The sequence below is a fragment of the Homo sapiens genome, chromosome 8, assembly GCF_000001405.40.
Source record: "Homo sapiens chromosome 8, GRCh38.p14 Primary Assembly".
Taxonomy (NCBI): domain Eukaryota; kingdom Metazoa; phylum Chordata; class Mammalia; order Primates; family Hominidae; genus Homo; species Homo sapiens.
In genome coordinates, this window is record NC_000008.11 from 130,288,287 (window position 1) to 130,300,934 (window position 12,648).

General features: G+C 41.9%; 1 protein-coding gene and 1 long non-coding RNA gene across 24 annotated transcripts in view; both read right to left on the bottom strand.

Annotated features, from left to right (window-relative positions):
- Positions 1-12,648, bottom strand: part of ASAP1 (ArfGAP with SH3 domain, ankyrin repeat and PH domain 1) — a 391,571-nt gene that overhangs the window by 236,183 nt on the left and 142,740 nt on the right. For 2 of the 23 annotated variants that reach the window (XM_006716565.3, XM_047421803.1), the window contains one exon: positions 1,715-1,852. The exons of the other annotated variants lie outside the window; for them this stretch is intronic. In XM_006716565.3, coding sequence (XP_006716628.1) covers positions 1,715-1,732 — 18 coding nt within the window. In that variant the 5' untranslated portion in view covers positions 1,733-1,852. Of the gene's footprint in view, positions 1-1,714; positions 1,853-12,648 lie in introns of those variants that run through there. 23 annotated transcript variants of the gene reach the window in all.
- Positions 7,069-8,247, bottom strand: ASAP1-IT1 (ASAP1 intronic transcript 1). The gene has a single exon (NR_002765.2). It is a non-coding gene; the product is annotated as an ASAP1 intronic transcript 1 (long non-coding RNA).

Below are 12,648 nucleotides of genomic sequence, written 5' to 3' on the forward strand. Positions count from 1 at the left end.
TCCTCAATTTGGGTCCCCAGAACTCACTCCTTAGGGTAATTCCATTCTTTTACAAGAGCTGATATTAAAAAAAAAAAAAATTCCTTGTTGAAACAACTGTTAATAAAGAGGATATCTTTGAGAATATAAACCTCCCTGCAAATGCTTATCAGGACATGTTTTATTTGGAGGCGCAGTGTCCTACCTGCAGCTGTGCATTTACAGAGCACTGCCAGCTCTTACACATTAACTCTAAGAGGGAAAAGGGCATTCAGAAGTCTGGACTGCATATCCATTAAACAAATGTGTTAATCACCTTCAAGACCCTAAGCAGGGCAGTGTAGAGGACCCAGAGACAAATGTGAAGGAGACTCTGTCCTCCAAGAATTTAAAATGTACTAGGCAAGGGCACTATGGGAAGAAGATGGCATCTGTACTATGGTAAAACCACTGTGGAAGCACAGGTAATCTGCCCCAGTAATCTGGTCAATGCAAGATGTTCACAGCAGCATTACTTATAGAAGGAAAGAAGGGAGGGAAGGACAAATAACAATGTCCAATGATGGGAGATGGTTAAGCAAATTATGATAAATTCACAGAATGAAACTGTGTATAACCATTAAAAATTATACTTACCAAGGCTGGGCGCGGTGGCTCATGCTTGTAATCCCAGCACTTTGGGAGGCCAAGGCAGGTGGATCACGAGGTCGGGAGACCGAGACCACCCTGGCTAACACAGTGAAACCTTGTCTCTACTAAAAATACAAAAAATTAGCTGGGCGTGGTGGCACACGCCTGTAGTCCCAGGTACTCGGGAAGCTGAGGCAGGAGAATCACTTGAACCCGGGAGGCATAGGTTGCAGTGAGCCAAGTTGGTGCCACGGCACTCCAGCCTGGGCGACAGAGCAAGACTCCATCTCAAAACAAAAAACAAAAACAAACAAAAAAAAAAACTATACTTACCAAGACTATGTAAATAACATGGGAAAATGGGTATGTTATAATGAATAAGAAGGCGTCAGACTAACACTATTAAACAAAAACATGCACAGAAAAAGCATCAGTGTGTTCACAGTAAGAATGTGGCCATTTTTTCCTTCTTCCTATGTTTTGTATTTTCCAAAGTATGTGTGTTACTTTTACATGAGAATATTCTTTAAAATTTATTTTTAAACAGCGTATTCAAAGGGCACAAGAATATCATATATTCAAATTTTAGAGAATACCCCAAATCCTTAGGGAGGCAGCTACCTTGCAGACTGGTCCAAACTTTAAGAATGGAAAAGACTGGGGAGGCGAAGACTGGAAGGCTTCATACTTTAAAATGATGGCCCTAAGTCAGCTGTTTATAACTTAGCACATACCATTCTCGAAGAAAGGATGTTATAAAGAGTGGTTATATTCCCAGGGTAGCCCATACAGCCAGGTAAACTCTCAAATCACCTGAAGTATCTTACTTGTATCCACAATCCTTTAGCTGGGGCTGGCTGTTTTAGAATTCATACTTTTGTAGATTTCAGAAAGAAATTACAGTATACTTATTGTTTATTATACAACATACCCCACAGGGACTAGTGTAGAACTCCATTATCAGATTCTGGTAACACAGTTTTTAAATATCCAGTACGTTTCTAGTTTAGCTTCTAAAAGCCTCATGAAACAAAATTTCATGTCAAAACTCTTAACATTTGGAATTCAGAACAGCAAATAACAGTGGACCTATAATTGCACGTACCCCATTGTACATGGTCATTTATCTAAGCGCTCTTCCTGGTACTCGACAGTTGGCAACGGCCCGAGAGGTGTCATATTCATCTTTGTATCTCCAATACTAGCACAGCAATAGCAACATAAAAGGGTGGTCCATAAATATCTGCAGAATGAATAAATGAAATATAATACTGAATCTATTTGCCAGCCACTTCATACTCCTCACAGCCCTCTGCACTTCTCTTAAGGCTCGCATATTCTACTTTGGATTAGATGTCATATAACTGTGCTACTCCGCCTCCTCACATTCCTTCCAACTTTAAGTCCTTCAAGGGCAGGGATGGTTCAGGTGAAACAGCAAGGCCTACAACAGTAGCCCATATTCCCTCACATGAAATGTTCAGAACTCGTTAAGCAAAGACACCAGATTCTAACTTGGGATGCCCAGAATACTTTCTCTAACCCTTACCTAGAGATCCAAGATTCCTCTTTTCTAACTGTAGGATCCAAACCTTCCTGGAAAGAGGAGTGACCCTGAACCAGGGCTATTATGGTGCCTGAGTCTAGCCTAGTCGACATGGGGATGTGTGCCTGATTTCATAAAGAACCCCTTAAATCCTTCCAGCCTTCCCTCATTCCAGTGGTGGTCATTCTTCTCAGGCTGCAGTCACATTTATAAAGCTTTTCAAAATGCCAAACCACCTCTACCAATTGCAAATCACTTGCTGAACTTTATCTGTGGACTATTTCCTTGCAGATGCTCTGAGGCATGACAAATCCTTAACAGGATAATGATGATACTCCTCCTTCCTCTCCTCATGCCTGGTACTACAGGATCAATTTTAGTACCGTATCACACAGACTTTCCCCTCCTTGCTTTGATATGCTTTAAAGCCACTGAGATGTGGCTTGGGTTAAAGGGAGTAAGGATTTTAAGGGTTCATGCATTCAATGTGCCATTCCAATGAAGACCTTCACAAGTAGGAGCTACTCCTCTTCTAAAACCAAATAATGCTTTACAGGCTAAGGAACAGAAAAGACGAGTTGCCAAGTTATACCATTTCAGGAATCCAGTTATCTTGACTTTTCCCCTGAGGCTTGCCTCTGCTGCAGCTAAAAATGAATCTGCTCAGATTCTTGTATATATTCACATACCCCTCCAGCCAAAAAATGAAGAAAACTGGTATGTAAATGGAAACATTACAGAACACTCTTAGAATGTGAATGTCAAATTCTCCTAGTGTCGAAAAATCTCAGAGATAAAACCAGGTTTGACACCCAAAGAAAAATGCTGGAGCCAGAAATAGACACTTGCTAAAGTATACATTCTAAGCATATTAATTCCAGGAAAAATAATTCTGTAAGACCTAGGCCAGACAGCTGCTTGTTCATCTGCCCCTCATCCTTGCCTCCACATGTCCTTGGGACTTACTGTCCTCACTAAGGGGAAAGGTCTGCTGAAAGTCATCTCCTGCCACTTCCCTCTGAGATGCCTCAAGAAAGAAAAACAGAAGGTGTGTGATGGAGACACTGACAAAACAATAATACTTATTACCTTCCTATCTCCCTCAGGGTTTCGGTGAGAAGAGAGATGAGGGGAGGAGGGAAAAGAAGAGGGGAAAAGGAAGGGGAAGAGGAGGCTGATAAGTTTGACGAGTGAGTGAGAAAGTAAAGGGACATAAATGAGTGGACTGAATAAATATGTTTCATACATACCTTGAAAAAGGCAACCAAAGTCCCCATTCACATAGCAAGGAGAGAGATTCACTCTTGCTTATATTTCCAGGCATGAATTATTTATTTCATTAGATCCCAAGATGCCATATGTTAAAGTTCTCCAAACTGTGGAAACTTGACAACTCTTCGGCTCCCTAAAACGCCATTTATTACATTTCACTGCTTACGAGGGGACACTGAGGAAAGGTAATGTGCACGTATTCCGTAAAAACTGCAGCTGCGCCTGATGCTTGTCTATTCACTGTGAGGGACCAGACCATCCTCAAGCCCCAAGTGAGCCTCCCTTTCTTTAAAATGCTTTCCTAAAAGCTGCTGGAGAGGAGCTGAACTGAGAACTGAACTCGAAACTGAAGAATTTGAGTTTTATTTCCTACCCTTTAGCTTCCTGCCCCTACTACCCTTTTGGATGCTATTAAAAATCTATAAAGAGCAGACTATAGGGAAAAAGAAAAGAAAGGCAAAAAACAAAGTCTGAATCATGCATACACGCATTCATTCACTTAACATGTATGAAGGACCAACACATGCCAGACAATGGGGCTACAATGGTGAAGAAGACTCTTTCTAGATCCTCAGGAATCTTACAGCCTTGTCTGCGCATGTGGGTAATAAGATGTGCAGTTAAGATGGTGTGATCAGCTTTGTTAACAGAAGTATGAATAAAATATGAATGAGGAACCAATTATCTGCCTGCCCCCCAATCCCATCCCAGAGGGAAGGCTTTACAAAGCAGGGGTCCTTTGAGTTGGGCTTTACAGAAGAGGAAGTGAATGATTAGTAAACCAAGGGTAGGAGGAGGGAAATGGCTTGCTCTTCCAGGCTCTGAATCAGAAACAACCACGAAACTTTCCAAGTTTATTGTTCAAGAGGTGATTATTGCAGAACGCCATTCCTGGTCCAGATTATTCTCTACTATAATTGTCTCACGTTCCCTGTTGTGCACCTACACAAATGCAATGGCAGAAATGGAGGATTTCTCTCATATCTCAATGTGGAAAATTTAGATGGTGAAAAGGAAAAAAAAAGCAAGCTCCCAACTTCTTGGAATTTTAAGACCTCAGTTCAAAACTGCTACTGATTTTACTGTGTGACTCTAGGCATGTCACATAACCTCTCTGTGCTTCAGTTTTATTACCTGTAAAGCAGAGATGAGATGATCTCACAAGACTGTTCTGTGAACAGAGAAAAGGATCTATATAAAAACATTTTAAAACTCGAATGTACTATTATTTTCATCGGCAATCATGCCACCTTTATTCAGTTAGCAGCTCAGTCTGGGAAGCCACTGCTCAAGATACTTGGCAAGTATTAAACAGTGAGAAAATCAGCCCTAATTGGCAGCCCTGCTTAACGACTGACATTCAAATGACTCCAGAAAAATACTCTTGTTCCTAAGCTTAAAGTCTACAGAATTGCCCTTTCTTTTCCAAAGCTTGCTTTTCACACTGCACATAAATATCTGGGGATCTCTTTAAAATACAGATTCTGATTCAGCAGGTCTGACGAGGAGGCTCAGATTCAGCATTCTGAAGATGCTCCCAGGTCATACTGATGCTGCTGGTCCCCATTCCCCAGTGTGAGTAGCAAAAAATGGATTCACCAAGGCTTTCCAAATCAATAAGTGGTTGCCCCACCAGGTAAGACTGGATTCAATCACCCAACTGAGGCAGCATTTTAATTTCTGGCTCTTTTCTAACTTCCAACATCCATCGCTCATGCCCCAGCAAACCACTTCCTGAAACCAAACTGCCTCATGACATATTAAATCAGCCTTCAGTCACAGAGGTGACAAGACGTGCTCAGGCTCAACCCAGCTTAGAATGACAGTACAAGGTCCAATTCTGACAGCAGGGCCAAAAGTAGTAAGTAAGGATTCCCCCACCCCCACCACAATCAGCCCCAGAGCTGGCTGGAGGGATTTCCAAATCAGCTTTGCACACTATAGCCTCAAGGGTCACCATCTACCACTCAACAATGGGTCATTTTCTTTAGATTATTTTCACAAATGACCATCTATCTCATGAGGCTACAAATGTTTCTTGTGTGAAGGACCCCATGTCCCCTATTGTCCAGCACAAGGCTAGGTGCTCAAATATCTGTAAAAAATAAGTACAAAGGGAGAAAAGAAATCAATGACTCACCAACATTTACTGAATGTGCACCATGTGCCTTGCAATGGCCTGGCTGCTGAGGGAGCAACAATGAATAAAACAGACTTTCCTCCTGCCACTAATGCAATTTGAGCCTCTATGTAAGAGCCAAATACTCTGCTAATGTTTTACCTACATTATCACACTTCTCAATTCTCACAATAATCTTACGTAATAGGTATTATACCCACATTTTGCAGATGAGAAAATGGGACAAAACAAGCAACGTTCCATACGAAGAAACAATGGCTGGTATACTAAGTCTTCTCCGTTAATCAACCAGAGAGAGAGGGCATTTCCATCCAATAACCAAAATGAACTATAGCCTTTCAACCACTTTCACCACAAGAACAGTTCTGTGACTTGGAACTAGTTCTCGATGTACTCATAAGACTTTCGAGGTTACTTACATGAAGTATTTGGTAATGAGTTCTGAATGAGGGTAATGCCACGGAGCGTCAGAAAGGTGACACTGATTTCCCCTGGTGTACAGTCACCTCCTCTGTATCCCATAAAGCCCAGCCTTCACTCTGGCCATTCAACATATACAGGTGAGAAGTGTGATACAGTAGAAATAACATGAGCTGGACAGACCTGGGTTTGAATCCCAGATCGACTACATGTCCAGCTGCACAGTGACCTTTAACTCTCTCTGCACCTACACAATGGGGACAGCAATAGCACCTTCATGCAGTCAGAAAGATGAATGAGATAATACATCTAAAGTATGTTTAAGTGTCCAACACACAGTGGACTTACACAAATCTAAGTTCTCTTCTCCCTTACTGGGGTTACTGCTTTGCTCCTGCAGTGGGAAAAGCATCAAGAGTCACAAGTCTTTCTCTTGGCTAATGAAAACAGAGAATTATTTTAACTCCAGTAAAGTCAACAAAAGGCCAATTCTAGCAGCCATTTAAAGTCACAGTCCAATTACTGAGGCAAATTACAAATGACTCTTTGGTTTAACTTGGAAGAAAACAGAAGCCATTAAAAAGATAGTAAGATGCCTTCTTTTTAAAATTAACATGTCTGGAAGTAAAAAAGATGAACAAAGCCAATTTACAGGAATGTGGACAGGGTTGTTGGATTAACAGCGAGAGGAATAATAAAAATGTCCTAGGCTGGGAGCAGTGGTTCACATCTGTAATCCCAGTGCTTTGGGAGGCTGAGGTGGGAGGATTGCTTGAGGCCAGGAGTTCAAGACCAGCCTGGGCAATATAGCGCAACCCAGTCTCTACAAAATAATAAATAAATGAATAAACATTAAAAATTTAGCCAGGTGTGGTGGCATGCACCTGGAGTCCTAGCTACTTGGGAGGCTGAGAAAGGAGAATCACTTGAGCTCAGAAGTTCAAGGCTACAGTGAGCCATGATCACACCACTGCACTCCAGCCTAGGCAACAGAGCAAGACTGTCTCACAAAGAAAAGTCCTAAATTCTCTCCCAGATAAGTTTAAAACTCTGAAGATAGTAACTCTTTTTTTTTTTTCTTCAAAGACTATCACATTGATTAGCCAGGAGCCACCAATGGAAAGAGCAGTAGTTCCTGAATCAAGACAGAGAGCTAGGTTCAAGTCAGTTCTGGCACTTACTGGCTGTATGACAAAAATCCTTCACTTCACTTTCCACAGCTGTAAAACAGGGATACGGGATAATAATACCTAGTTATTGTGAGGTTTATATGAGATAATGTTTATGAAACATCTAGCAAAAAGTAAGCACACAATGTAGCTGTTAATTACATGTGACTGATGCTGGAAGGCCTTAACCCAGGAGCAGAAAAGCTTTGCAGAAAGCTTTTACCATAAGCTGCAACTGTATGATGTGCATGAGGTGGACTTAATGCTGGGCTCTAACTTGGGCTGCCACTGGTTTCAGAAAGGTTCCTAAAAATAGCATGAAGCTGTGGCACAAGATTTTTTTTTTCCTATCAATCCCTAACTAGGATTCATGGAGATATCAGAAATCTTTTTGGACCAGATCTTAGCTATGCTACATTTCAAAGTTAAATCTTAAGTATAGGAGCTGCGCTATATTAAAAAGGAAACAAAAAAATTTATGATATCCCATCATCTTTGCCTCTCAAAGCCCCTTCCTTTTAGCACCCAGAATGCCACCCAATTAAAGGGATGTCTAGATTCTTGTGTAATGAGTAAAAAGCCTGCCTTGCTCACCTCTGAAACCCCAGCCAAGTGGAATTTACTGGGAACTGGTCACACTTGTCAGCTGCATAGTGACCTTTAACTCTCTCTGCACCTAGCTCATCACTGTTCAGAAGAAACAGAGACCTAGGGAGGCCCGACCTTCCTTATGAGTCTTGCTTAGGGTACTAGCTTCTGAAAGGACAAGACAGTCCCCACTCTGGGGATGATGTTTCTTGCTAAACAGAGGTTTACCTGGTTGAACACCAGAAAAAGTAGATGTTTGCATTTGGGTGCTTCTCTGTATGAAGGACAGGTATTCTCTGTTCATGAGAGTCACCTCAGCTCCACGAAAACCTTGTTCAACAAAGGCACACAGAGCTCGGGCCACTGGAGGAAGCAGCAAGCACCCTGATGTCATGCTTACTCCAGGGCAAAACTCTGTGGAGGGATTGGTAAGCAGGGGTCCCTGTGCTATTTAAATTATCTCCACCTGCTACTTCCCTTTTTTTTTTTTTTTTTCCCATTTGCTAAGCCCATGTTTTGCCCTGCTGAGGAGCAGCTAGAGATTTATCATTCATTACATGATACTTCCTTCTGGCCCTCACATATTTAACCTCCTTCAACCTCAGATCCTGCATCAAGGAAGAATTCACAGCTCTGTGCCACAGAATTAATTTCTTCTGGCTTTTCCCCCTTTCTTTTTAACCATTCATCCAGCTCTACAGAGCACAAGGCCGACTACAGAATTAGTTTAAAAGAAAAAAAAAAAATTAAGCTACTTTCCAAGCAGGTAAAATTTGCTTTTACATATTTTCTATCTCTTTCTCTGCTTCAGGCCCTTGTAAACATCTAAGGCTGAAGCCCTCTCCCTGGCCAGGGGTTCTTATTTACTTTTTCACAGTCTGGTAGCTTTCAAGTTTAACTGTCTTTTTTGGGGGGCTAAGTGGATGAGAGAGGTAAGAGTTCCCACCTATTAGAAGGGCAGAGACAAAGAATCCCACACTCCTGAAATTTCATTAAAAAACTGATACCAGGGCAACTGATGGTAGACAGCTGTGTGGGGGGTTAAATCTATGGTTTGGGAAACTGTAGTAAAAGGACAGCGAATAATAATCTAATTTAAGCATAGTTACCATCAACTATGGGCCAGGCGCTGCACTGGTTTTTAAAAAATATATTATCTTTTAAAATCTGAAGTCTAATTGTGGTTGTCCCACTGCCTGTGGGAGATTAGTTCGTCTCCCCCCATGCATCAAAATCTGTGTATACTCAAGTCCCGTAGTCGGCCCTGCAGAACCTGAGGGTACAGAAAGTCAACCTTCCTTATAAGTAGGTTTTGCATCCTGCAAATACTGCATTTTCAATCCACGTTTGGCTGAAGAAAATCCACATATAAGTGGACCAGCACAGTTCACACCTGTGGCTGTTCAAGGGTCAACTAAGTATGACTGCTCCTATTTCACTGATGAGAAAATGAAGGCCTTGCATGCCCAGTGGCCAAGAAGCAGACCTGGGACTCAAACCCAATCTGATTCCACAGCCCAGGCTTCCACCTGCTGGCCTGTAATCTACAGAAGTGCAGGACGACTATCTCCCATCACAATAAAACCCCCAGAACCTCTCAGAGTCCTACTGCTCCCTGCCACTCACCAAGTGGCTTAAGAAGGGGGAATTTAGGTTCTGAGTCCACTGCTGTCAGAGACAAAGAAAACAAAGCGGGGGGGCGGGGAGCAGAGGTAGAGCTGGAAGACAATGTTCACACTGTTCCTTCTGGAGAGGCCCATTGCCTTAAAGGAAGGGTGCACCCAAAATCAGCCTTGATTTATTTAACTGCCACATTTTAGACTAACTCACTGCTGCTGAAAAGGAGTGGGAAAAGTAAAACTGGCAAAGTGACATGCTCTTGTAGCTAAATTGGCCAGAGAGGCCATTGTCTGGCCCAAAGAATCACATAACTGGGAGCTGAAACATCTGGGTTCCAGTCCCAATTCTCTGTGGGAGTCCAGGCAAATCACTTCCCTTCTTTGAATCCCCATGTCTTCATTGCTAAACATGGGTGTTGGATGGGATAAAACTTAAGGAATCATTCTGCTCTAACATTTTTGGCCTCTAGGGTGCAAAATAAATGACAAATAGCTAGTTGACAAGTATGGATACTGCACAACCAATCCAACACTTTAGCCCAGTGTCTGGGAGCCAAGGGAAGCATGAGAAACCTGTAATGGTGTCCATATCCACAAACATGCTTTGATTAGTAGGAAGCTAATACACATCTTTTCAACATGATGTACAACATAGATGAAGACTCCAAATGGCAGACAGGCAGGACAAGCCCTCATTTTCAAGGGTTGAAAATCACTCCTGCCCTGAGACAGAAGGCATGGGTTAAATATTTCCTGAATCCCTATCTTTGCTAGCTCCATCCCATCTCCTCTTCGAGGCCAGGCCACCAATAGCTCTCACTGGGTCATGTCTACAAACACTGTTACCTTTCATTTATGCTTTCCCTCTCCAATCCATTCTCCACACTGCAGTCACAATGGTCCTTCTAAAAAGCAAATCAGAGCATGCCAATCCTTTGCTTCAAACCCTAAAGGCTTTCCATGCCTTTCCAAGATAAGCCCCCCATCTTTCCAGGCTCATTACCGTTCTTGTTCCCCATTATCCTTTAGCTATAACATACATCTTTTACTTCCTCAAAAGTGGCAGGTTCTCTCCCACCTCTATCCCTCTGATCTCAGTTGAGGTGCCACTTCCTCTGGACATCCTTCTTTGACTCGGGAGACAAGGCTGGGTGCCCTGCCATGGTCTCCCAGAACCTCTGCACTAACTCCATCACAGCACTGACCACACTCCACTGTAAACTCCTGTTTATTCATATGTCTGCCCGACCAGATTACAGGTATTAGGGCGGCAGAAAACACATCTGTCTTGTAGTCAATTGCATCCTAGCAGCTAGCAAAGTGCTTGGAACATAGCATGTACTTTCGAAACACAAATAAACAAACATCCTTATTAACGAAATGAATGGCCTCTTACCTAAGAGGACTGTGGAAAGTGGGTAAAGAAGACAAGCTAAATGGGGAGGTGAAAAAAGGGAAGGAATAAGCTGGATGCCCGTGTGTCCGTGCCTCTGCAGGTCTGCCCAGAGGCTAGGATGAGTACACAAGCGGATAACAGTGGCAACGACAGAGGCTGTGAAGCGTTCAAGGGCAAGCTGTGCCCTGTGCTTTGTGCAGATGTGCCCACTCTACATTCTGTGGAGCCCAGGGAAACTGAAAAAAACAGTTACTTATGTTTCTAATGTTTGGAGATGTTGGCAACAGAACACTGTTTTAATGCTACACGTATGCACAGGGAATACAAAAGGTAAAAAAGTAGGTCACAAATAAACTCAGCAATACTAGTAACTGGACATCACTAACAAATTGTGTCTACTGCCGTCTTGGTTGTATGCCCAACACTATATGGCACAGTACCTTTCTCATCCTCATCCCCTTTTTAAAGGATGCATCTCCATGCAGGCTGTCAGCTAGGAAACGATGATATACATGTTTAGTTGCTATACTATTGAGATGGATTCTGCTATCATTCTCCATAAATTGTGACAAGATAGAGAGACTAAGTGTTGCAATTCAACAGTAAGGAAAAATGCAAAATAATTTAGAATTTAAAGAAACAGAGAGATCAAGAAGACAAAAATCAGCAGAAACTTTCCAGCACAGAGTTAAGTGAGTTCAAAATCCAAAGGAATAACAACAAAGGCAATTCAGAGGAGAAAAATAAATTCCTATAAAAATATATTTTAAAACATTACATTTCAAGATCAGAAATAATGTGCTTCAGAGAAACAATGAAAAACATCAAGATAAAATAGTATAAATAGATGAGGTGGCTATTTTCTTCATACAAATCTTCGTGGTGGACTGGAAAACCACTAAGGGATGGAGGGACTGTGAAATGAGCCACATATGCAGGATATGGAAGTTAATTAAACAAGGAGTCAGGCAGTTTCTTGAAAAGCAATTTAGCCAAAACAAAAGACGAAAAACAAACAAGCTATTAACACATACAGTTTCTTGGCCAAACAAGAAGTAAAAGAAAAATACACACACACACACACACACACACACACACACACACACACAGAGAGAGAGAGAGAGAGAGAGAGAGAGAGAGAGCGAGCGAGCGAGCAGTCAATACAAAAGGCTTCTAAGGTCCCAGAATTTCACAGTGATCAGGCCATGAGAATGGGGAACAACAGATAAGGCTTTCAACCTTAAGTGTGGTAATTTAAAATCAAACCAAACAAGACATCTAAATGAATTCACTCTGTCACATGTTTCTTCTTTTAATAAGAGGATAATATTTTTACACTACTGCTGTTTTTTAATTTTTTCAAGGTAAAAACTCTCTGCCTTGTGTAGCTGGTATAACCATATTGTGGAAGTTCTCAGTTCTAGCAGCACACTGGAATCACCTGGCAGCTTTAAAACACTGCTGCCTAGACCCCTCCCCCAGAGTTTCTGATTTAATTGTCTAGGATGTGGCCTAGATTTTTAAGAGTTTCTAGCATGATTCTAACACACAGCCAAGGTAGAGAACCACAGTCACATCATTTCTTAGGCTAATAGTTCTCAACAGATAATGAAGTTGAAAGAACCTGAACTGGATTGGGAGATCAGAAAGCTGCACATTAATTTCTAAAAATAAAACATCTTTTTCTGCTTTATTACCTCCCTCCTTTCTAAACAACTGGATTCTTGAAAGCCCAGCACTGGGCTGGCTTCCTTTGGCCAAGAAAGAAGGAAGGAGACATCATCCAAATCTTTATCTGCTGCTCTCTGGACCAAGTTTCAGCAAAAGCACATCTGTCACAATGATGATTAATCTCTAAGAAGGGGGGCTCCCTGCACTTAAGGACCAGC